Below are 26938 nucleotides of genomic sequence, written 5' to 3'. Positions count from 1 at the left end.
ATCTAAACTGCTGAATAGTTTACCCTTCTATATCTAGTCTAGGATTAACCAAGATTGCATGAGAATTTCAGTGCACATACAATTTCAGTTTGCCAGAACGCTGATAACAATACATTGCATGGTTGAACATGATGGCTGCTTTAGAAGCTTCATTCAGCCCTGCTGGTTGAATATGTTGATATTGAAAGCATGATATTTAAGAACTAAAGCTTAGGAAACTTGAATTACATAATTTAAAAAATGGAAGTCATCCATATCTGGGGCAGGAAATGTACAAGACGACACTAGACTGTCTTGCCATACCAGATGATGAAGGAAGCTATCCATGATGATTAGAGTTTGTGTGAAAGATCTAGGGGCCAACTTAAAGACACCTCTAGTAGCCGAAGTTGGGATGCTTTAAGTATTGATAAGAATGATAACTGCAATATATTGAAATACATAAAATCTGTTTAAATCCATGACTTCTCGAAGATCCAAAATAGAAAAAACAAAACAAACAAAAAACCTAATTGGTAACCACTGCAGTATGCTAGTGAACTGACTGCTATTTCTAAAGCTTGCAAATAAATATCCTGCCTTTTCTGTACAGAATTGGTTAACCAAATAGTCAATGAGACGTTTCTCATCATAGACATTTTCCAGCTAATTAATGAAGAAAGACTGATAGGCTATCCCCATTTTTCAACCCTGATAAATTTATATATGGATGTAACATCACAAAAAGAGGGAGAATCAGACATTCTGTGCCTCCCAACAGAAGAACAGACATCTATGGCAGGGCTAGGGTTGGGATGAGACAAGTGAAACACTTAGTAATCAAGATAAATAATAATTTAATGCAGCTGTGCTGAGCTTTATTGGAGCCTGAATCAAAAGGGAATATGTGCATTCCTATATTCATATTTTTATGTTTTTTAAAAAATGGGTAATTGGTAATGGTTTTAATGAAAATATTACTGGTGAGATTTCTTCCATTAAAGTGAGAAAAGTAAAATGATAAGAAATTAAGTTTAGGTATAAATAAAATGTTCAGTCTTAAATGTAGTGATTTTTAATATATACTTTCAGATTTTTCAATATTTTTAAACTCATATTCTGGAAAAAAATTACAATTAAGAAATATACAAAAACATGCATCCATGTTTTTATGCCTCAGTGTGGCTTATCATAGCACTGATGTTTGAAGTAGATTCACCTCTCTCCTCCAGAATCAAAATTGAATCCAAACCTCTACATCTAATTACAACTTCCAGAAAACGTCAGTGACATAGGAATATATTATATAAACACCACAAGGATGCAGTCAATTAACCTGCGTTGTGAGAAACTCGGGGATAAATATTCTTGTTTCTATTACATTTAATTTCAAGAAAAGAGACACAGAGAGACAGACAGACATACCAGAAGGGAAACCTCTGGATCAAGAGACTAGATCAAAACATTGACCAGTTACAATGTTTGGTCCTTATTTCAGTCCTCAATCTAACAAAAACAAATTATATTGAGACAATTAAAATTTAGACAGTACTGGATATTTGGTGCTATTAAGGAGTCATTAACATTTTAGGTGTGATAAAATTGTGGTTCTGTTTAAATAACGTCTTTTTCTTTTACAGATGCACACTAACACATTTAGACTTAGTTGATACAATATCTGAGGATTTTTTCTGGTAATACAGAAGGGTAGGTTTGTGAGATAGAGGTGAAACAGTATTAGTCAAAAAATAATTATTGAAGATAAGGGTTCATGGAGTTCATTATGCTCTTATCTCTGTATTTGTATGTGTTTAAATCACTCATAATAGTGTACCTGTGCTTGTGTAAAACACAAGTGCCCTATTGTGTATTTCTGATTCTGTAAAGAAAATCCTGATTCTGCAGATATGTGATGGAGACTTGCCATCAGAATCATTTATTAAGTTCAGTAAAAAATTTGATTGCCTAGCCAAGGTTGAAAACCATTGTTTGATTTGTCATTTAAATGGGTTGATATGATTGACCTCTATAGTCACAAACATCCCATAAAATCTTAGTGATATCAAGTTTAATCTATTGATGTCTCCCATTTTTCTTCAGTCTTGCTGCAAAGCTTATGAATATATGGGATACATTATGGAAAAAGAGCAAGCATATACAGATGCTGCCTTGAACTATGAGATGGCATGGAAATATAGCAATCGGACAAATCCGGCAGTAGGTGAGTTTGGCAATCACCTAGATTTTTCACAGAAAAATTATGTTGTATTTATTAATTTTCATTTAAATGCATTTGATTTTTTTCAAAACAAAATAAACATTGAGTCAATTTTCATTGTCAACCTTTCTGAAAGGAGAATAAATTTTATATTCATAATATATTATTAGCTACTAATAGTTCAGTTTCCTGAGTTCCAAACTTGTCCTCAGTCACTTAGTGTACATCTAGTCTAATTCTGCCCCCTTCTCTTCCTTCTAAAAGAAGGTGCTATTTTGAAATTGGGAATGCCATGGAAAAAGATGTTTCCATTGCCAAGTAAGTTAGGAAAATATTGCATTAAATTGAATTACACAGGTTTCTTTACTTCTCAAAGCCTTTAAACACTAACGTATATTGCGATGGATATCACAGAGGGGCCATGTTTCCCACAATTATTTGACCATGGGACATTTTTTTTTTCTCCTGAGCATCTAGAAACATCATCCAGTCCCAGGCTGGATGTTGCAGGCTGTTAGTTTGGGTAATGCTAGTCTACAGTGTCCCTAACAGAGGTGGCATCAGAATATATGTCATGACCAACCTCTCTCCTCATACGAGGGAGCTCATCCTCATGTTTGTGTACTCTTTCTTTGTATTGGGTTGAAATATGCCTCCTTGAAACTGCCCAAGTCTGTTTTCCGGAGCAACTTACAGAATGCCTCCCTCTTACAGATCATGACCCTTTAAATTGCAATCTTCAGTCCTGTGTCCTAGGACTTGTCTTCAAGCCATCTGCAGTTACTTGTCCATTCTTCCTAAGATTGGATTCCGAGTCTCTCATCTTCCTTGTTGCTGTCTCCTGGAAGCTCTAAAATAGTGTTTCCCAAACTGTGCTTTGGAACAGTTGGGGAGATTTTAATAATTATTTTTTTTTTAATTAAAAAGAATGAAGTGTGAAGGTGGTAGATGCCATGGCCATGTAAGTTTGGAAAGTGCTGTTTTATTTTTCCATGCCCCTCTGACCTGTTGTACCATAAATGAACAACCTCTCAAATATGATTTGGCTTCTTATAAGTATAATTAAGCTATTTTTTTCTTTTGATTAGGCAATTTGTAGTTGTTAATTCAGCCTAAGATGGCATCAGTCTTTTCAGCAGCCATGTCACCGTGTGAATTCGATTTTGATTTGCAGTCAAATGAGTCAACCTCATACTAACTGCTGTTAGCTCAGGTCTTCCCTCATCTGTTAGTTTCCTGGAGTCTGTTCTCATACTATACTAGACTTGTGCAAAGCACAAAAACTAATGATTTTTATAGTATTTTTTATTCTAAGGTGTGATATATCTTTCAGAATAAAGTCATCTGGTAAAATGAAAAGTCCTTAAATATCCTTAAAATATTAATTTTGACACTTTATTCCATAGAAGGAATGCACATAGAAGTTAAATTATTTATATATTCCATTCCTTGGAAGACCTCAGCAAATAAAGAGATTCCAAATGACTAGTTCTTTCATTGTGTCATCATTGTATTTTATAGATTATTTTATCAGTTCCTCTAGCTTTGCTTTGGTAATCATTTCTTTCTAAGGCTCTCCATTAATTCCTCAATTTCATCCTTAAGATTGTCATTGCATCTAACACCCTCAATGTGCCTGGCCAAATAAACAATGTATTTCACTTTTTCAGTTGTCAGAAAACCCTTAAAATCATGCTCATGGCCAGGCGCAGTGGCTCACACCTGTAATCCCAACACTTTGGGAGGCCGAGGTGGGCAAATCACCTGAGGTCAGGAGTTCGAAACTAGCCTGGCCAACATGGTGAAACTCCGTCTCTACTAAAAATACAAAAATTAGCCGGGCATGGTGGCGGGCGCCTGTAATCCCAGCAACTCAGGAGGCTGAGGCAGGAGAATTGCTTGAACCCGAGAGGTGGAGGTTGCAGTGAGCCGAGATCACACCACTGCACTGCAGCCTGGTTGACGGAGTGAGACTCTGTCTCAAAAAAAAAAAAAAAAAAATCGTGCTCATGCTCTTTCCATAGAATTCAGGGTTGAATATTGTCACTATAAGAGGCACCAGGATGAATGATGAATGGATAATTTGCTTGACTGCAGTAATCATTTATAAATAAATATATATACACACACACACATATATCTACACACCCACATCTACACACCGACATCATTTTGTATATCTTAAATATATACGAGGAAAAAAAGAAACACACTAGGAACAACTGAGATCCAATGAGAGAAGAAACTACTCATGTTTCACCCTTCATACCTATTCTCAGGTTATAGGACAGTCATTAGACTGTGTAGAATGTTTGCATTCTCTCGCTGTCTCTCCTGATTGCATATAGTTGAGTTCTAATAAGTTTGGCAGGTGTAGTGCAGCTGCAGTGCACATTTTCTTTCCCCTTCTTAGGTCTTTATTTCCTCTGAAATTTTTGTACCAGGTCATGTATCAAGTTTCTTCCAGTGTTAAAATTCTGTGATTATAATATAGTGAATGCTTACATTAAAAAATGCTAATATTTTGTGGTATTCTAAGGTTTTAAAAACCATTTCACAAGTATTTTATATGATTTTTAAAATTATACTAAGAGTTAGAGGGAGGAGTTGTTATTCCTGTTTTAGCGATGAGGAAACCTGAAAATGACAGCTCAAGCCACTTGCGTAAGATCCCAAAGCTAGTCAAGAAACCACAAACCAAAACTGAAATCTTGACTAGTTCCCATGTAAGTATGTTTGGCATGACATCTTAAAAATTGCTTTACTTTTTGAATGTCACAAACCCTTTTAGTTCATTTTAGAATTTGTTGGTAATGACATTAAGTTTACCTCTCTGAAACTTCTTATTTTTGTCTAAAATCTGAGATGTGAGATTCTGCCATAGGCCCTGCCCATGTGTGCCTGTGTGCATGTGTGTGTGTGTAGAGATATATATATACACACCTATATAGACATACATATATATACACACACATATATAAACATACACACATATATATATGCAGTCATGTGTCGCTTAACAATGGAAATCTTCTGAGATATGCATCATTAGACAATTTCATCATTGTGTGAACATCTTAGAGTATACTTACACAAACCTAGGTGGTAGATCCTACTACACACCTGGGCTATCTGGTATAGCCTATTGCTCCTAGGCTACATACCTGTACAGCATGTTACTGTCATGAATGCTATAAGCAATGTGTGTATGTAAACATAGAAAAGGTACAGCAAAAATACAGTATAAAAATCTTTGGGACCACCATCATGTATGTGGTCTGTTGTTAATGAAACATCATCATGCAGTGCCTGACTATATATAAAATAGTGTGAATTTTAGATCATTTCTATTTCTTTCTTTTTACTACCATCTGATAATGTTAGCCAGTAATTCTTTTCAAACATTTAAAATTTTAAACATTTGTTTTGGTACTTTTATTAGAGCTGAAGAGCACTATTTACACTTCTTATTTCATATTTTTAAGAGGTAGAGTGAGATATTTTTTATTACACATTATTTTACATTGCATTATATCTTGTTTACTGCGTGCACAGCTGCTGTTACTTTTCTTGTCTTCTTAGTTTTCTCATTTTTATAGCATGTTACAAGAGAACAACATCCATTAAGAGGAATGTGTTAAATATTCTTCTAATTGTTGATAGTAGAAGTGTGGCATTTCACTATCAGTAATTGTGATAATTCTTACCAGTCATTGATGACTAATCTGCCTTCCTCTGTGTCGCTCTCCTATGTGCTCTGTCTTCTCACCATACTCCAAGTTCATTAACTCCCTGTGTGTCCTACCACTGGCCTTAATCCATGCAGTTTCCTCTGTCTGAGAGTGTCCTTGATTCCCACCCTAGCCTAGTTTATGCCTCATTCTTCAGATTTCAGACATCTCTTGATACCCTTCAGGTTCTTTATGGTAACTCACTTGGCCTGGATCTTTCTTTCATAACATTTATCTCAGTTTTGAAATTATTTACTCATGCAATTATTTTAAAATGTACTTTTTCTCCTAATAGAATGCAAACCTCATAACTGTAGGCATCAGTTTGCCTGTGTAAGTGCTAAATAAATCTGTACTGTATAAATGAATGGCTGTGTTGTCATTTACTGCCCTATGATGAGTTTTTACTATAACCTGAAATAAATGAGACTTTTCTAGTAAGTTATAGAAACCACACTTGTGGGATGGCAGCTTTCTAACCTATCAATGTATTCACTGTGGTCCTTTTTTCCAACTCCACTTTCTTTTCTTCTTACACTTCTTTTGTGTCACTCTGTCTTCTATTATCACACAACTTCTCTGTATAGCGTAGTTTGGTTGTTCATTCACCAGCCTCCCTTACCATTCTCTAGTGAGTAAGCAAAGAGAGGAGGAGGCAAGGAAAAGTAATAGTAGCAGTGTACTCCATCATTCTGTTTTATGGTTTTTGTCTTAACAGGATACAAACTGGCATTTAATTACTTAAAAGCAAAAAGATATGTGGATTCAATTGACATATGTCACCAGGTAAACACTTAAATTTAGATTTCTTAAAATTTTTCAGATGCACAATTTCCTACTTTTTTAAATCTCCAGATGTATGTGAATAGAAATAGAGGATACATTATTTTAGTTAAATGATTTATCAGTATGTTTAGGGAGATTATCAGTGTTCGAAATTTAGAAAATGATGTTCACCTAAATAAAAAACATGTTTTTACTTTGAGATCAAATAATAAAATGTTTATGTCAATTTAAAGACAAAGACCACTGAAGAGTACATATTAAACAATAAACCATAAAATATTTACATGTATGGAAAGGAGTAGGATTAAAGAGGTGGAGTAAAAGAGACTTTTACTTTAAAAAAAAAAAAAGACAAAGACCAGTGGGAGAAACATGTTAAATAAAATGTAGTCTTTAAGTTAGAAGATATTTGAAGACAGTATAGATTCTCCAGATCATTATTCTGATTAGAAGTTCTTGTGAATGTGTCTGAATCTGGTTATTAGAGAATTCAGACTGATCAATTAGAGATAAAAAGGAATTCTATTAGAAGTCATTCAATTGCATTCTGTAATTCATCCCCTAGTAAATGATCACCTACTAAAATGACAAATATTTAAATTACAGTTTTAGAATTTGTAGAGTCTCTTTATATATACATTGTCCCATTGATATTCCATATAAGACATTCTATTAAACATTGTAAGGACCTCCAAGAAAAGTTCATTAGAAAAGAATTTTGTAATGCCCCTTATCCCACACAGCAATCTGTTAGCATCATTACAGTAAATACTTGGCCTTAGTAATTGCTGTTGATTACTGAGTCTCTGTAAAGCAGTATTTCAGTCAGGTTAGGGTTGTGTGTTAATGTAAGGCTATATATTAGGATCATTTTTGGAGTTAAAAAAAAAAACTAGCATCTCCCCACTCTTAGACTCAGTAGAACTAGAAATACGTATGTCTCAAGATCATTTCAGGTAAAGCTAATGTGTGCTGCTGTATAAAAGTCACTCTCTAAGGGTTTATCAGATATTATGAATGAAAAGCTAAATTACAAAAATATTTTAAATCATTGATACATAATTGTTTTATACAATTCATCTATTAGGTAAGCAGTTGTTTGTTATATTTTCTGCATTTGATATTTACATTCTATTGTTCTCATCTAACTACCATTAATATAAAGGAGTCATCATGTTACATTTAAAATGCCACCATTAAAAAGTGTTATAGCTGTTGTAGTATTAGTACAAGGAAATCTTAACTGTAATGCTCATTTCTTATAAGTTTTGTAACTCCGTAGTTTTTGATTATTAGTTACAAGTTTTTATGGGTTCTTTATTTGTTTTGCAGGTTCTTGAAGCACATCCAACTTATCCAAAAATCAGAAAGGATATACTTGATAAGGCCCGTGCGTCTTTAAGACCTTGAAAATAATTTTAACTTAGGTGTTGGTTTAACAGGAAATGAAAGAAATCTAACTTTCAGTTCTTCCTGTTCAAAACAGGTTTGAGCTCAGTGCTTTGTTATTAGAAGTATACCCTTTTTTCTCCAGCAGAGGTTGCTGCTGTACATCAAGAGAAGTACTATGTGAAATTGGTGTTTCCTAATGGAGTTGAATGAGAGCTGGTCTATTTGACTCTGTTTTGATTGGGTACAGATTTGGTGACTCTGTGGTAAAGACTATAATTATTTCTATAAAGAATATTTTGTTAAAATCTAGGTAATTAAATACCCTGTATCTTTTCTAAGGAATATTATTTCAGGAAATATATTTAAAATGCATTGTTCTCTTTTAAAGTGTTTTTGTTATATTCTTTTATTTATTTATTTATTTTTAAAGACAGAGCCTTGATCTGCCGCCCAGGCTGGAGTGCAGTGGCACGATCTTGGCTCACTGCAACCTCCGCCTCCTGGGTTTACGCGATTCTCCTGCTTCAGCCTCCCGAGTAGCTGGGACTAAAGGCATGTGCCATCACACCCGGCTAATTTTTTGTATTTTTAGTAGAGATGGGATTTCACCGTGTTAGCCAGGAGGGGCTTGATCTCTTGACCTTGTGATCCACCTGCCTCGGCCTCCCAAAGTGCTGGGATTACAGGCATGAGCCACCGCACCCAGCCTGTTTTTGTTGTATTCTGTGTTGTTTCAAAAATTGGAATAAATCTCCCTGTAAATAACTCATGAAAAAGACAATATATATATTTTAAATATATATTTTAATAAAGGTTTTATAAATAGATGATTTATATTCCTCTTGGAACTCAAAAGATGTGGTAAGTTTTGCAAATCAGGGTAAGCTCCCCCTGCATTCTGTAATGTTAATGGGTGGTGGTATAGTACAGAAAATGTAACTTTCATTGAAAAATCTTTTTTAGAAAAGGGTAGAGTGTGTGTTTCCCTTTCCTTTCTTGAGCTCATTCTTCCTGCTTTCAAGGCCATTGTGGTCTTAAGAAATAATCAGGTCCTGAAACCTCAATTTAAATAGGTCCCTTATTAGGGATATTTAACCTTAGCCTAGAAGACTTGGTCTGCAGGTATAATTTCAGACACTGTAACATTTGATGGTAAAGGGTGACCAAATACTTTTGGTCAGCAGGGAGTCACAAAGCACACCATGTGAAGGCAACGGTTTACCCAGCTCTGTTTAACAGCACCCTGGCATAGAAGCTTTCACTCTCTTACACTAAATTTAACCTAATCTAAACTTAATCCTTAGCATTATTTTTAATTTCTCATCTACATCTTTTTCAATTTTCCTTAAAATTGTAGTAAACACAGTCCTCAATTTTATTTGCATTTACAATAAACAGTATTTATAAGTCATTTGCTGCTTTTTATTAAATGTCCTGTGTTTGTTTTGAACTCCATTCTCTTGTTTCTGATCATTTCTCCCATTTTTCAAAATCCCTTTAATTTCAATTACGTTATAAAATTCCAATTATTCTTCTTTTCACTTAGCAAAACAGTTTTTTGTGGGGTTTTTTGTTGTTGTTGTTCTTTGAGACAGAGTCTTACTCTGTAGCCCAGGCTGGAGTGCAGTGGTGCGATCTTGGCCCACTGCAACCTCTACCTCCTGGGTTCAAGCAATTCTCCTGCGTCAGCTTCTTGAGTAGCTGGGACTAAAGGCACACGCCACCACGCCTGGCTAATTTTTGTATCTGCAGTAGAGATGGGGTTTCGCCATGTTGGCTAGGCTGGTCTCGAACTTCTGGCCTCAAGTAATCTGGCCGCCTTGTCACCTAGCTTTTATTTATGGCATTTCATAGAATGTTTAATAATAGAATTTATAAGTCACTTCATATATGTTAAAATACTTTCATATTCCTTACATTTGATCTTCACAAACCTAAAATGCCGGCATTATTATCCCTGTTTTACAAATCTGGAATCGTGAAACATTACCTCTTTTTCTTTAATTCAGGTGGAGAAATATCTTTCAGCCTGAGTGGACATTTTTAAGGACAATGCTATGGACTGAATGTTTGTGTACCCCAAACTTCGTATGTTGACATCCTAGTCTTTAATGTGATAGTATTGGGAAGTGAAGCTTTAGGAAATAATTAGGTCATAAGGCTGAAGCCCTTGCGAGTGCGATTAGTGCCCTTAAAAAGAGGATCCCAGAGAGTTCTCTAGCTATCTTTCTACCATGTGAGGACAAAATAAGAAGTCAACTATTTGCAACCCAAAAGAGGGTCCTCACCAGAACCTGGTGGTGCTGGAACCGTGATCTCAGACTTCCAGCCTCCAGAACTGTGAGAAACAGATTTCTTTTGTTGATAAGCCCACCAGTTTATGATATTTTATTATTGCAGCCGGAGCTGACTCAGGCAGAAATCACATTAACAGAATGCCTTTAGTAGTTCCAGTGAACTTGTGTCATGGGATGCTGGAATCATGGAAATTGGATAGAGAAATAGAGCATCTGTTCTCTCAGCAAGACATTTCCAAATCAGTTTTCCTATCTGTAAGAGGAGAGGAAGGTTTTGTTTTTGTTTCTTAAGCAGCCATTTATTTTGCACCTGCCATTTGTTAGATGCTATTTTAGGGACTTTCCTTACTTTATGTCTTTTAATTTTCAGTCAGCTATTAAGAGAAATAATATTCCCACTTTTCAGATAAGAAAGGTGAGACCTGGACTAAATGATTTGCCCAGGGTCACAGAGAAAAGTGTCAGAACCTGAATTCCATACTGGCCCAGTCAACTTCAAAGCCTCTGCCTTATTTATTATATTAAGATGCCTTCTATAACTAAGAGATAATGTTTCTGTAAGAAGAAGTGATCTTTTCTACATCTGGCTAGCAGAAGAAACTGGTGTATCACAGAGATAGCTAAATAATGAAGAACAAGATGGACTGAGTGGAATGAACAGCTGTTACAAATGTAGAAACTATTAAAGAGCAGTCTAATTGAGGAGCACTATAGTGTAGCAGTCAAGAGCATGGATCTGAAATCAGACCAGCCTGGATTTAAGTTTTGGCTCTACCATTACCTAGATGTTTCATCTTTCTCCAAGTTACACACTCTCAGCCTCAGTTTTCTCACCCATAAACAAGCATATAAGGATAATAACCTGCCTCAGGTTGTAAGGATTAAAGGGAACTTATATAAAACCTATAATGAATCTGACTCACTAGGCTCTTAATAGTAGCTCCTCTTATAAGCAGAACAGGGCAAAGTAGTAATTGCAACTGAGAAGAGAAAATGCAGTTCAAAGCAAGATTAAAAGGATGAGTAAAGTCCCCTAGAGAGCTCAGCCCTACAGGATTTGAGATTCTCATTCATTCACACCTTCCCTCCTTCCTTCCCTTCTAATTTTTGTTCAACTACTTCCCTCTTTTCCTCTCTCTCTACCCACCAACCATTATGCTAGACTCCACATGCAGCATCTCATTTTATCCACCTGGAGCTTGCTTTTGCCCTACTCTCCTCAGTGGAGAATTCTCTTCCTCCTGTCCCTCCCTTCACCCCCGCTTCCTGTCTCTGAGCTTCCTTCTCCAGGTTTGCTCCTTTCCATCAGGTATCACTTTATCACCACCTCCTCAAAGAGGCCGTGTTCATGTCCAGGCCCACAATCTCAAGTAGCCATCCTGTGATTCTGTATCATATTATCCTTTTTAAACTCTATGCAGCATTTACTACCTCTGATGTTTTTTCTTCTTTAAGGATTTGATTGCCTTATGTGACAAGCCCAAGATCTGTGACAGTTGGAGCTCAAACTAGGCAGTCTTGATTCCAGACTGCTCTGAACTAGTATTTGAAGGAACTAATGAACATGACATGTTAAATGAAAGTTTGGGGACGTACACTCAGGATGGAAGCAGGGGGACACAACAGAAATGAAAGAATTTTCTGTAGATCTGGGATCTGGACACCTGCCCCCCGTCATGGTAAGGACACAGTTGTAAGTTTAATGTACTTTTGACCTTAATTCAGCTAGTATGGTGAACTGGGTCCAAGAGGAAATATCTTTCTTCCCCAGAAGTCAAGAACCTAGAGCAAATCTGGAAGGCTTTTATGCATGGACAGCTGAGGAAGCAAGTTGAACTTTGCACTAGAGTAGAAGTAGATAATGGAATCACTATGGAAACCAAAAGACCAATTAAGAATCTGACAGGAGCTATCCTAGTTTGCGACTGGAGATGACAAGTGAATAGCTTTAAAATAGGATCATACAACAGCGTTCATGCTGACAGATTTTTTTAGAAGCAAGGTTGGCAAAGGTGCAAGGAAACCACCGCATTCAGACCGCTGCTCATCGAAGTGTAGCACAGCCTTCCTGAAGGGAATAACTTATAAACAGCAAAAAGCAAGTTCGAGAAGGCTGTTCTCTAAAAACAGCACAAAATAAGAGTCTCTCGTTTAACCAAGTGATCCCACGTAGAGAAATTTATCACAGGAAATATTCCGAAATTTCTCAAAGGTTTCCAATTTTAAAAATTGTAACTGAATTTTTTGCTGCTTTTGGTTATCAAAACATCCAACATGAGGTTGTCACATATGTAAGATTTGACCAATAATATAGTAGTAGGTAGTAATTGAAAACTATTTCAAGGATTTATTTATGTATTTAATTTTTTTGGCTCATGCCTATAATCCCAACACTTTGGGAGGCCGAGGCAGGCAGATTGCCTGAGCTCAGGAGTTCGCAACCAGCCTGGGCAACACGGGGATCCTCGTCTCTACTAAAATACAAAAAATTAGCTGGACATGGTGGTGTGCACCTGTAGTGCCAGCTACTCGGGAGGCTGAGGCAGGAGAATTGCTTGAACCTGGCAGGTGGAGGTTGCAGTGAACCGAGATCACGCCACTGCACTCCAGCCTGGGCAACAGTGAGATTCCGTCTAAAAAAAAAAAAAAAAAAGAAAAAAAAAATTTTTGAAAGATTTTAACTGCTAAAATGCTCACAAAATAAGTGAATAAAGAGGAAAATGTAACTGTTCAAATAATAATATATCCATTTGCCAAAACTATAGATGCATATAAGAATACACAAAACTAGATGAAACCCAGTTGTTAACATAGTTATATCTGAGTGATGAAATATTTATTTACCATTGTAAAAGTTAACTGGAATTAACATATATTCTACAATAAAAAAAGTTTTTTGTTGTTTTTTAGAGAATAGCCTTCTCAAACTTGCTTTTTGCTGTTTAAAGTTATTTTTCTGAACACAGACGAAGAGAAGAAGCTAAACAAAAGCTGACATTTCAACTCTCAATACCACACTTTACTATTAATTGTTAATGCAAAATGCAATCTATATTACTTCGATGGCCAGCGATAGAGATTCAGGAAGTGAAAGATGGAAATAAAAGCCAGAAAGTAGTAGTAGGAGTGGTAACAGAAGTGGTACTAGAACGTAAGAGTTCCAGAGGGGATGTGTAAGAGCATAGTCCTGCAATTACATAAAGGATTGAGAGCAAACCCAGTCCTCTGTAATTTTAGTCCATTATTCCATTAACAGAGTTTTAATGATGATTCTACCAAATATAATAAATTAAAAACCAGTGGAAATATCTGAAATCCTGCAGAGCCTCCACGTGTGGTCGTGCAGTGTGTGCACTGCACAGAGTGACCCAGCCAAGGGCACAGGAGATGGAGGCAGAAATCCTCCAAGTCTTACCACTCTGCAACTGCATCTCCATGCAGGAGGACTCCCTTTTCTAATTTGAATACAACTTTCTCATAGGCTATTGGAAGCCCTGCGAATGGAAGGAGAGGAACTAGAGTCAGTATAGAAAAGTTTTTAGAAATAAGGCTGAGGGTGAAGAGTGATGTGTCCATAAGGGTGTGAGAAGTCTGTCTTTTAAGGTAAGAGCTACTTGGGCATCTATGGAGAAAAAAAAAAGCCAGTAAATATTGAAGGTACAAGAAAGAGAGGAGGGGAAAACCTGAGTAGAAAAATGGTGGCATCCAGGGGGTGCACAATTTTTGCAAGGGGAGTGAAGGAACGAATGAACTGCAGAAAGACTCACTTGATATAAAGGCGGCTTCAGGAGCCCTTATGCTAATTGGCTCCAGTAGTTTTATAATGAATAAAATAGTCTTTGAGCTAAGGGCAATACCACTCCTTCATATGCACAGGATCTTGGACCTCTGTTTTCTTTGGACTCTGAGGTATTTTTCACTTATTTCCAGGTTCCTGGTTGTGGTTGTTGGAATTCTGCCTGCCAGATTAGAGGGGAGTTACTGTAACATGATAAATCCCAGTTATGATCAAAAATGTGCTACCCTCCTTCTAATGCTCCTCTTAAGAACCAGATGTTTTCTAGAAAAACGTTTCACTCTGCAATCTGCCTTAAGTGCACATCAATGAATCTGGCACAATGCCCATAAAAGCAATCTGATCCCATAAATGAGGGATGCGGAGTAATGAGCAGGTTCTAAATGTCTTACTTCCGAGTGGTATAACATGAGACTCGATGGCAACCCTTAAACCAGGCTGCTTTCAAATAGTATGTATGTTACATTTATCTTCCTTCAAACAAATTCTTTTGGCAATGTAAAAGAAATCCTGTTTTTTTTTTAAGGGGGTATTTTAAGAAGGTAATTACTATTTCCATTTTCACCAAAAGCAGCCTAGTTTTATTTTTAATGGGTAAATGATGTAAGAACCTTAAAAAACCACATGAAACACAGAGGACAAAGCTGCAAAATGTTCAGTAGTATCCTCACTTATTTCGGGTCAGGGCAATAGGTCCTTTTTCACAGTTACAGATTAAACTTTCTTTGAAAAACACAGTAAGCTTAAGAACTTTGAGGAAAAAGAATGCACTAAAACGCTAAGCAGTTACAAAAATGCTCTTTTCATACAGTTTAAGTTTAATATGTGAAGTTGCTCTAGTAAATACATAAAAACTCCTCCCTTACATAGTTTCCTGAAGAATTTTTTTGTCCAATTTTTCACATTGACTTAAGTTACAAATTGCAGAGGATAGATTGAGGGGGACTCTGGGTGGGTGCAAGTGCAGGATATTGAGAAATCGCAAGGGCAAAGTTAAAATGATTGAATACGTACCATGTGAAGAGTCAAGGTGAGGAAACGGGACAAACGACATGTCTAGATCCTGATGTCACTTACTTGTGTTAAACACATGAATCTACTGCCTTTTATAAAATGTATGTGCTGGGTGGTTGTTTTTGTAGATTTTTTAAAATGCCCAATATTCATTATTCAAGTTTCAATAAGAATGATTTTGTTTCTACAAAAAGGAAACAACTTTTTAATTTTTTATTTGGAAAAAAATTAAATGTACAGAAAGTTGCATAAATAATATTGCAAATACCATATATATTAAGGTAAACATTAAAATATTCCTAATATTTTAAACCATTTGCTTTATCATTTGTGCTTTCTGTGTGAGTATACGAATTTTATGTATACATTTACACTGACACGTATGTATACACACATATATACATATGATTTTTTTTCTGAAGATTCTGAAAGTCACAAGCATCGTACACATCCCTGTACCCCTAAGTACTTCAGTGGTCTGTATTTCCTAAGAACATGGATACACTCCTATATAATCAAACTGTAGTTATCAACTTCAGTAAATTTAACATGGATTCCATACTTTAATCCACATCATTTACCATCAATTGATCCAATGAAGTCCTTTTTTTCCTCCAGTCAGGATCCACTCTGGAATCAGATATCGTATTTACTTGTCTTGTCTCTTTATTGTTGCTTAATCTGGAGCATATCCACAGCCTTTCTCTCTTTTACAATATAGACATTTTTTGAAGAAAATGTCCCTCACCCTCTTTTTTTTGTAGTAGAATGTTCTTCATTTAGGGTTTGTCTGATATTTCATCATGATTCAATTTGAGCTAAACATCCCTGGCCATAATGCTATATAAGTAGTATGTCCTCAGGGTATCAAATATGGAAGCACACATATTTATCTGCCCTCACTTGTGAATTAATTTTGATTACTCCTTCAAATTTCTCCACTACATAGTTATATTTTTTCTTGCAACTAATAAGCAATCTGTGAGGAGACACTCGTAGATCAAATATCGTGCTCCTCTTCAAAACTTTCCACTGGATTGATCATGATTCTTGCCTAGTCCCATCTTTACTGTGAGGGTAATAAAGGCTCCACATGTACCCAGCAGTTAGTACTTAGCGTTTTACCATAAGCAGGAGCCCCGCCTTTGCTTATTTATTGTTTTTGCTTTTCATTTTTATCCATTATTTAATATAGGAGAGTAGGGGACTCTGGAGCTTAAACAAACTATCACATAGTGAGGACTGAGAGTTGAGCTTTATTTTTTTTCCTCCTGGATAAAATAATTTTATCCATTGTTTAATATAGAAGGAGAGTAGGGGACTCTGGAGCTTAAACAAACTAGCACATGGCGAGGATTCAGATTTGAGCTTTTTGTTGTTAAAAATATTTAACATCATACAGTCTTGTGAAATTCTATTTTTCAATATTTCATCATTCATTAATGTCTTTAATTATTTTGGTGCTCAAATTATTTCAGATTTGTCCAGCAGAAGCCTCTTCAGGCTGGTTCCTGTGTCCTTGTGACATGCTCTCATTGTTCATTTTTCTTTTTTTTGAGCACTTTCTTACTTTCTATCATAACAAGGTGTCTGAGGCTCAACTTCTCATTTCCCTGCTTCAACCTTGGAATCACACATTTCTCTGAGGAGCCCTGGTTCCTTTTATTGGGAATGGTGTTAGAGATGAGGATCCAAGTGCTAAGTCTGCTCGTTGCTACTAGGGTGTAATTGCTTCTAGATCCTTTCAGAAGATGGAAAACATATGCATGCCTACATACATATGCATATACAGACATATACTCATAGACACACATATAGACATACAGGTGTTTGCACGAATACTGTACATACACACAGTCTCACATACACTGACATCTAGTTCTTATTTGTATGACCCTTTTCCAGAGTGTGGTCCTGGATCCTAACAACTTCAACCTATTTGTCCATTTCTTCAACCTTATAATCTACCTAAAATGGTTTCAGAATTGCTTCACCCAAACGTTTATAACAAAAACAAGTCTACAAAATCTACAAAAACCAGTTCAGAATTTGTTTTCAGTCTCCCACCTCCCACAATGCCACCAACTTTGGTCGATTTTTAATTTATTGTTGATAAATTCAACAAACTATCCTAAAATGTTACCAGAACCATTTTCCAGTAGTATGACGTATTTTAAAAATCAAACTAGGCCAGGCACAATGGTTCACACCTGTAATCCCAGCACTTTGGGAGGCCGAGGCAGGTGGATCATCTGAGGTCAGGAGTTTGAGAGCAGACTGGCCAACATGGCAAAACCCCATCTCTACTAAAAATACAAAAATTAGCTTGGTGTGATGGTGGGCACCTGTAATCCCAGCTACTCAGGAGGCTGAGGCAGGAGAATCATTGCTTGAATCCGGGAGGTGGAGGTTGCAATGAGCCAAGATCGCGCCATTGCTCTCCAGCCTGGGCGACAAGAGCAAAACTTGTCTTAAAAAAAAAAAAAAAAAAAAAAAAAACACCTAAATTATTTATTGCTGATAAGAGTGTGTGCTCTGTTTCATGGATCAGCTTTGCAATTTCCTTCCAAATATTCATCTACTTGCAGAATAAATGCCATCCCTTCCCACGCCAACCATATCGATGATATAGTGGCAGGAAGGAGAGTAAGGGACTCTGGAGCTTAAACAGACCATCACATGGTAAGGATTGAGAGTTGAGCTTTTTGTTAAAAGTATGTTGTAGATCTACATTATTATAAACTGATTTTTCTGTTTGACCTCAAGTATTTTCAGCACTTTTACTGTGATAGGTTAACTGTCAGCCATAAACATTTCTAAAGAAATAGGAAAATTTTCTTCCTATATTATTCAAAATACAAGTTTCTGGTTTATAGCAACTAATACTGTTTTTTCCCCTCAACCCGCCGTTTCCAACTGCTACCCTTTCTCATTGAATCTTCACTTGAAAAAGTTAGATTTATATCCTCTATTCTTTATTTTTGTATTTATATTTTATTTCTATTTTCTTGAGTCCTACAGTCTCATAAAATCGTTTTGAATAGCAGAGCTGCAGAGCTGATGGGGAGGTCAGCTATGTTAATTCCACAGCGCCCCTGTCTTCGGTGTGAGGTTGCCTAGCAACCCATCTCTCAGGCCTCCTTTGTGGATGAGAGAAGAGAAAGCAATTCTTCTATACACTCTCAAGCCGAGATGATTTTTATAAAGTGAAAAACCTTTCGCAAAGGGTCTAACACAACCCCTGCTTCTCCTCCTCTGCCCACTGTACACTTCACATATGATGAGAGAAATATCCCATCCTTTTAAGCTTTAGATCTGATACAGATATAAAGCGGAGCTAGATGCTGTATGGTCAAACAGTGGAAGTGACCTGTATCTTCATGTTAAATTGAGACACATTAATTAAACCACTCATCTTCCCTTTTCTCTTCTATGAAAGCATAGTTTCCCCTCAAGTTCTAAAAGCCAGTTTTGTTAAATGAAACTGCAACTGCCTGCTGAGCATCAGTTGCCATAGCGACGAGAGCCAGGAGTGGTGTTTTTCTCCTTAGGCACAGGATGACTGAAATGTGTTCAACCAGGGGATTCAAGCAGCCTGCTGACTAGAAACAGGCATCTGGGAAGAGCCTGCTCGGTTGCTTTTTCTCCACACTCATTTGAAAAAAATAACTAACCCCTCTGCTATTCCCTTTAAGCTGTTACCTTTTTAGAACCAAACTTCAGTGGGTGGCAGAAGTGCCCTACCTTAGGCATACAGGAGAAGGGGGAGCAATGATGCATGCCAGTGAAACCCACACGAACAGCTAAGAGAGCATGCGAACAGTGCAGAGAAGATGCACTGCCCTTTCAGATGTCTCTGAAAATACAGAGTACCACATGTATTTTCCACATTGTGAAAATACTTAGGTACATTTTTTTGAAAGATTTATAATCCTATTACCTTATTTTCCAGGCAGATGATGTTATTCACAAGAATATTGTGGTTCCAATGGATAATAGTTTATGGAGGGTTGTTGTAAGTTAAAATACATATAAGGAAAAATGCTTTGTGCTATTCTCATTTGCCTCTAATTATGGCTGAGAAGAGAGAGGTAGGATAGCACATGGGCTTTGGAGTCAAACAACCTGGGTTGACCTCCTGTGCCATTTAACAGTGTGATTTGGGGCAAGTTCCATAAGGTGTCTAGGTCTCACTTTCCTAATTTTTACAAAGAAACTAAAAAGAGTATTGTTAACTGTGTGAAGTAAGAAAATATACATAAAGCACCTGATTCAAACACTGATGACTGTTATAATCAGTTTGGCTTAACTGACCACTCAGTACTAATTGAACACCTGGTACATGCCCATGCTTGATGTGAGAAGAGTACTGAGGTCCCAGCCAAAAAGAGGGCAGCCAAGTTTGGGGACTGCAACTGCAGGTTATCTACCTTTCTGATGCTTCAGAAAGGTTTGGTATGTCATCCTCACCAATGTTCTATCCATAGTGACAGTGAATGATACTCCTTGTGGGTCTGTCTTCATGGCCAGTTCACAGTGAAAACTCTTACTGCTGTTTCTTAACTAAATTTTGCTTTTCTGTCTGAACTGTCATTACCAGCACCCTCAGTCATCACAGTCATTAGACTGGACATCTGCCTCCATGGAGAATATGTGAATACCTGTGAATGTACTTCCTGGAGGCGCTGCCAAACTATTTCCAGCAATGACAAAACATAGCATGTACGTGAATTCCCAAAGTGCCTTCCCTGGGCATTCTTTTCTAGCAACAGTATACCTTCTGGTGACTTTCTAACAAAGCAATTACATAATTCCTGGAAAGCGTGTACTTTTAAAATTTTAGATCATTGAATCTCATCCTTTCATTTTAGAGGTAAAAAGGGAGCTCAGGAACATTGATTAAATTGCCCAATTCATTTTTATATATGCATTTTTATATACATATGTATATATCCAAAAATAATATCATATAATTATATACATGTACCTACACACACATTCATATATAAATACACACATGTAAAGAGGAAGGAATCAGTTACACAAATACATAATTTTTTTTCAGGTTGTCTAAAAGTATACTCCAAGTTCCCCCAAGCTAGAGACCATTATTATCAGTGATTGCTCTACAATTTGCAAGTAGCAGAAACCAACTTAGGATGGCCTGAGTTATATGTAACTCTTCAAGTTGGCACTGGAGCTGAAAGGTGGGAAGGAACTGGAACCAGGGACTGGAATGTGGGCAGGACTCTATGCCTTTCCTCTGATACTTTCTGCATGTTGCTGTTCACTCAACTATCCATCCAGATATTCACTGAAGACCTATTCTATGCCAGGCACTGTGCCAGGCAGAGGGAAAGCCCTCATATCGGGCAGACCTGGTCTTCTCCAGTAGATCTTGTGAAACTTATTGGCTCTCATTCTCTCTTGCCACTGCCATGTAAGTAGTAGCTTTTGCTTCCACCATGATTATGAGGCCTCCCCAGCCATGTGGAACTATGAGTTTGTTAAACCTCTTGTATTAGTCTATTTTCATGCTGATGATAAAAGACATATACCTGAGACTGGACAATTTACAGAAAAAAAAGAAGTTTAGTGGGACTTACAGTTCTACTTGCCTGGGGAGGCCTCACAATCATGGTGGAAGCCAAGGAGGAGCAAGTCAAATCCTACATGGATGACAGCAGACAAAAAGAGAGAGCTTGTGCAGGAAATTCCTCCTTATAATACCATCAGATATTATGATACTTATTTGCTATCACAAGAACAGCACTCAGATATTATGAGACTTATTTGCTATCAGAAAAATAGCACATGCCCCCATGATTCAATTACCTCCCACTGAGTTCCTCCTACAACACGTGGGAATTCAAGATGAGATTTGGGTGGGGACATACCCAAACCATATCACCTCTTTTTCTTCCCAGTCTCAGGTATGTCTTTAGCAGCAGCAGGAATACAGACTAATACAGTAAATTGGAACCAATAGAGTGGGATGCTGCTGAAAAGATACCCGAAAACAGGGAAGCAACTTTGGAACTGGGTAACAGACAGAGGTTGGAACAGTTTGGAGGGCTCAAAAGAAGCCAGAACAATGTGGGAAAGTTTGGAATGCCCTAGAGACTTGTTGAATGGCTTTGCCCAAAATGCAGATAGCAATATGGACAATAAAGTCCAGGCTAAGGTGGTCTCAAATGGAGATGAGGAACTTGTTGGGAACTGTAGCAAAGGTGACTCTTGTTATGTTTTAGCAAAGTGGCTGGCAGCATTTTGCCCCACCCTAGAGATTTGTGGAACTTTGAACTTGAGAGAGATGATTTAGGGAATCTGGTGGAAGAAATTTCTAAGCAGCAAAGCATTCAAGAGGTGACTTGGGTGCTGTTAAAGGCATTCAGTTTTATAAAGAAATCAGAGCATAAAAGTTCAGAAATTTGCAGCCTGACAAGGTGATAGGGAAGAAAATTCCATTTTCTGAGGAGAAATTTAAGCTGGCTGCAGAAGTTTGCATAAGTAACGAGGAGCTGAATGTGAATCATTGCCAAGACAATGGGGAAAATGTCTCCAGCGAATGTCAGTAGTCTTCAAGGTAGCCCCTCCCATCACAGGCCTGGAAGCCTAGGAGGGAAAAATGGTTTCATTGGCTGGGCCCAGTGTCCCTCTGCTGTGTGCAGTCTAAGGACTTAGCGCCCTGTGTCCCAGCCACTCCAGCCATGACTACAAGGGGCCAAGCTAGAGCTCAGGTTGTGGCTTCAGAGGGTGCAAGCTCCAAGCCTTGGCAGCTTTCACGTGGTGTTGAGCCTGTGAGGGCACAGAAGTCAAGAATTGGGATTTGGGAACCTCCACCTAGATTTCAGAGGATGTATGGAAATGCCTGGATGTCCAGGAAGAAGTTTTGCTTCAGGGACAAACCTCACGGAGAACCTCTGCTAGGGTAGTGTGGAAGGCAAATGTGAGGTAGAAGCCCCCACACAGAGTCCCCACTAGGGTGCTGCCTAGTGGAGCTGTGAGAAAAGGGTCTCTATCTTCCAGACCCCAGAATGGAAGATCCACTGACAGCTTGCACTGTGCACCTGAAAAAGTCACAGGCACTCGTTGCCAGCCCATGAAAGCAGCCAGAAAGGAGGCTGTACCCTGCAAAGCCACACTGGCAGAGCTGCCCAAGACCATGGGAACCCATTTCTTGCATCAGCATAACCTGGATGTGAGATAAGGAGTCAAAGCAGATTATTTTGGAGCTTTAAGATTTAACTGCCCTGCTGGATTTTGGACTTGCATGGGGCCTGTAGCTCCTTCGTTTTACCCAATTTCTCCCATTTGGAATGGCTGTATTTACCCAATGCCTGTATCTCCATTGTATCTAGCAAGCAAGTAACTTGCTCTCAATTTTACAGGCTCATAGGCAGAAGGGACTTGCCTTGTCTCAGGTGAGACTTTGGACTGTAGACTTTTAAAAGAGTTAGTGCTGAAATGAGTTAAGACTTTGGGGGACTGTTGGGAAGGCATGATTGGTTTTGACATGTAAGGACATGAGATTTAGGAGGGGCAAGGGGCAGAGTGATATGGTTTGGCTGTGTCCCCACCCAAATATCATCTTGAATTCCCACGTGTTGTGGGAGGGACCCCATGGGAGGTAATTGAATCATGGGGGCAGGTGTTTTCCATGCTGTTCTCATGATAGTGAATACCTCTTACAAGATCTGATGGTTTTATAAGGGGGAGTTTCCCTGTGCAAGCTCTGTTTGCCTGCTGCCATCCATGTAAGACATGACTTGCTCCTCCTTAGCTTCCACCATGATTTTGAGGCCTCCCCAGCCATGTGGAACTGTGAGTCCATGAAACCTCTTTTTCTTTATAAATTATCCAATCTTGGGTATCTTTATTAGCAGCATGAAAATGGGCTAATACACTAGTTCTCACTTCTCACAGACGTTTCACTACTCCCATGTTGTAAGTTTGGCCACATGCAGAGAATGATGTGTAGTTTCTTAGTCCCCAACTCCCACCACCAATATGGCCAGGAAGGAGGCCACCAGGTGACACAGGTTACCCAGGCCCACATCTATGGATAAAAAGGTTGCTGGGCAGACAGCCTGAAGGCTCCACTACAACATGTTATCTGATCCTTTTGCACTTCTCCCTCCACAGTATTTAGTCCAATTTTTTTTTTAATTCACTCAAGTGCTAGCTTAGTTGAACACCTACATTTAAAAACCCACAACTTTTAGTTAAACAATGTAGAAAATTACTGGACTTTCACTGATAAAGAAATTTGCAACATGGTAAATTATTTGTTCAAAATCATAATTCTCCCATCTGTTTTATTTCTCCAAATGTCCAAGCAACCCAAACCAGGACAGTACCAAGGGCTGTACCACCCTAGTGGTACAACCACTAGATATCACCATGACTAAACTAAGAGTTCAGTCGGAACTGTGCTGCTGAGAGTATCAATGAGTTGACAGCTGCCCAGGCTTGCACTTTTCCAAATCACGGAAGAAGGAGCCATAAAGAGCCAGGCTCATCAAAATTGAGTATAAGCAATTCTCAAAGACCATGTTGATAAACAACAAGACCCTTGACCTTTATATTCCTTCTTTATGTGCTAGGTGGCCCTTATATTTACACATTTTTAAATTATTATATAAAAAGAGCCATTAACCATGGTCCCAGCTCATGTAAAAGATGGAGAGATGCTGGGAAGGTATCAAATCAGTTTGGCTCCAGTTAGCCCCAAGGATTTTTCATTAGGCCACGCTACTAAGTCTCTCTGACTTTAATCCCATTTTCTTGGGCTCACATATATCCTGGGGCATTGTGAGGTAAGAATAAGTCAGTCAGGAATCAAACAAAATTCAAAGAAATGGATAGGCATCATGATATGGTTTGGCTCTGTGTCCCCACCCAAATCTCATCTCAAATTATAATCCCCACATATCAAGGGAGGGACCTGTTGGGAGGTGATTGAATCATGGGGTGGTTTCTCCCAGGCTGTTCTTGTGATAGTGAGGGAGTTCTCACAATATCTGGTTGTTTGATAAGTGTCTGGCATTTCCCCTGCTTTCTTGCTGTCTCTCCTGCTGCCTTGTGAAGGAGGTAGCTTGCTTACCCTTTGCCTTCCACCATTATTGTAAATTTTGAAGGCCCCCTGGCCATGTAGAACTTTCAGTGAATTAAACCTCTTTTCACTATAAATTACCCAGTCTTTGGTATCTTTATAGCGATGTTATAACAGACTAATATTAATACATATCACTTCTTTAGGGAAGGCAGTAAACAAGATGCTAACTGATGGAGTGAAATCCCCAGGAGATGCAGAAGGCAAGTGCAGCTAACTGAGGCCTCAGGGGCAGGAGATGCCCATCAGGATGAGAGCTATGTCTTTCTCCAGTGATGACTCTGCTTCTATGAGGTCACCAGCAGTAGAACCATATCTTGCTGGCATACACTTGGGGTAAGAATATCATTGGCAAAGTTGCTTAAGATCCGATCTGCTTAACTATAACTACCTCCCCCTTCCCTGTTTCCTTCATCTTCCTACTCATATACACATGATACTTTCCTCTCCCTTTTTCTAGTTCATCCCCCTGGGAGAACCACTTTCTTGCCTAGAGTGAAACTCTACTCTCTTGTTTATGTTCAACATATTTTGTTGATGCTCCAAATTCTCTTGTTCTGGCTTCTCTCCAAGGCATTTTGTCCTTTTCCTTACAACTAATGTAAAAAAGAAGAAATATCCTTGAACTTCAAACTTTTTTATAATAAACCTTAGTGATCCATCAGACCCAAATGTCTAATCAACAAAAAGAATTTAAAAACATTAACTTTTGCTCAAATACAAGAAGAGCTTAAACTCCAGACTCTTCTAGCACAGCAAGGAAAGAGAAACAACAGTACAGCTAGTTCCATATTAAAAAAATAGGAATGTTCATCTCCTTCCATAATTCAAAAAATACTACCGGAGAATCAGAAAAGTAAAAATTGTGCTTGTATAAAGAGTTCCTGGATTGTACTGGCTTCCTATATCAATCATTTCTCTCCTGCTTTCCTGTAGATGGCCCCGCCTCCTGGACTTCCATCTGTCATCAGGAGAACATAACCATCTGGAGTCAGTACAGATCATCAATCCTTCCACATATACAAGTTCATTTTAAATTTTTAAAAATATAATACAACTGAGAAGTCTTCATTAAATTGTTCTGGTGGTCCTACCTGTTTTCTGTTAGGGATCCAATACATCTCAGAGCCACATGGGTGATGCCATAATGCCAGGGCTGAAACACTGCTTTAGGGGTCTTTTACTTTCCTATTGCTGCTATAAAAAATTACCACAAACCTTGAGGCTTCAAACATCACAAATTTATTTTCTTACACTTCTGGAGGTCAGATGTTCAAAATGGGTCTTAGAGCTAAGACCAAGGGGCAACAGAGCTCCCTTCCTTCTGCAAGCTGTAGGGAAGGCTCTGTTCCTTGACTTTTCTGGCTTCTAAGGCCTGCCTGCATTCTTTGTCTCATGATCACATCACTGTGACCTCTACTTCTGTCATCATGTTTCCTTCTCTAACTTTCCTGCCTCCCTCTCTCCCTAATAAGGACCCTTGTGATTATATTTGGGCCTACATGGATAATGCAGCATATGCTCAAGATCCCTAACTTAATCACATCTGCAAAGTTCCTTTTGCCATGTAAGTTAACACATTCACAGGTTTTAGGGATTAGGATGTGGACATCTTCAGTGGGGATGCGGGCATTATTCTGCTGACTACAGGGTCTGATATAATCGGAGGCCCACTTCCTAGAAATCAGAGAACCTGATTTCTAGTCTGCAATTAGGAAATTCAATTAGGAGAGTGCATAGGGATTGCTGGTATCTCTGTTTTACCTTTGACTTATTAGACTGTAGCCACAAATTCTGGCCCCAGCCTATAGAATGTTATAATGAGAAGCACTGGCTTTAAAGTCATACTAACTTGACTGGGATTTGTTTTTTGTTTGTTTGTTTGTTTGTTTTAGACAGGGTCTTGCTCTGTCACCCAGGGTGGGGTGCAGTGGCGTGATCATGGCTCACTGCAGCCTCGACCTCCCAGGCTCAAGTGATCCCCATACCTCAGCCCCACAAGTAGCTGGGACTACAGGCGTGCACCCACCACACCCAGCTAATTTTTTTATTGCTTGAAGAGATAGAGTCTCACTATGTTGCCCAGGCTGATCTTGAACTCCTGGGCTCCAACAGTCCTCCCATCTCAGCCTCCCAGTTCTCGGATTACCCTCATGAGCCACTGTGCCTGGTCTCACCTGGGTTTTCATCTCATAGGAGCTCTGAGAGCTTGGGCAAGTTCCTCACCTTCTGTGAACTTCAGTTTTCACCTCTCTTCTCTGGGGAGGTCTTAGAGGAAAGAGACTCAGAGACTCACCTGCAGGATACTCTTAGGAATAATGCTGGTAAGGGAGGGAGAAAAGCAGGATTGGACTGCAATGAAGTCACAAGGAAGGCTTCAGCTGATCCCCAAGGGACTGTGTTGATGGGATGGCCTCCCATGGCCTCCCTTTAAGGCAAAGGAGACAGACATTGGTTTCCCCTGAGTCAATCTGCCAGGATTGGGACTACATAAGAAGAGTGAGATGCTTGCCTTGAGGACAAAATTTAGAGGGCGTCAAAAAGCTCAGTAGCCAAGATAAATAATATTTTAATGTATTATTATTTTTTAAACCTAAATTAATGCAAAAG

The 26938-nt window shown here is 38.3% G+C and overlaps 1 protein-coding gene and 1 long non-coding RNA gene across 5 annotated transcripts in view, besides 1 other annotated feature; both read left to right on the top strand.

Annotated features, from left to right (window-relative positions):
* TTC21B (tetratricopeptide repeat domain 21B) overlaps positions 1-9517 on the top strand; it is an 80415-nt gene extending 70898 nt beyond the window's left edge. For 3 of the 4 annotated variants that reach the window (NM_024753.5, XM_047445870.1, XM_011511871.4), the window contains 3 exons: positions 2080-2200; positions 6647-6714; positions 8047-9517. In NM_024753.5, the coding sequence (NP_079029.3) occupies positions 2080-2200; positions 6647-6714; positions 8047-8124 (267 nt within the window). In that variant the 3' untranslated portion in view covers positions 8125-9517. Of the gene's footprint in view, positions 1-2079; positions 2201-2911; positions 6297-6646; positions 6715-8046 lie in introns of those variants that run through there. The other variant, XM_017004967.2, reaches the window with a different exon arrangement.
* Positions 8126-8325: an enhancer, noted in NCBI's record as "active region_16728". NCBI's record gives its function as "activates an Ori minimal core promoter by ATAC-STARR-seq in GM12878 lymphoblastoid cells {active_cell/tissue: GM12878}" and the evidence as "EXISTENCE:reporter gene assay evidence [ECO:0000049][PMID:35858748]".
* On the top strand, positions 10938-25404 carry LOC100506124 (uncharacterized). The gene is made up of 4 exons (NR_045375.2): positions 10938-12082; positions 19814-19935; positions 24475-24664; positions 25265-25404. It is a non-coding gene; the product is annotated as an uncharacterized LOC100506124 (long non-coding RNA).
* The last annotated feature ends 1534 nt before the right edge of the window (positions 25405-26938 follow it).

The sequence above is a fragment of the Homo sapiens genome, chromosome 2 (genome assembly GCF_000001405.40).
Source record: "Homo sapiens chromosome 2, GRCh38.p14 Primary Assembly".
Lineage (NCBI taxonomy): Eukaryota > Metazoa > Chordata > Mammalia > Primates > Hominidae > Homo > Homo sapiens.
Note: the sequence above shows the minus strand (reverse complement) of the source record. Positions and strands in the feature narration are given on the sequence as shown.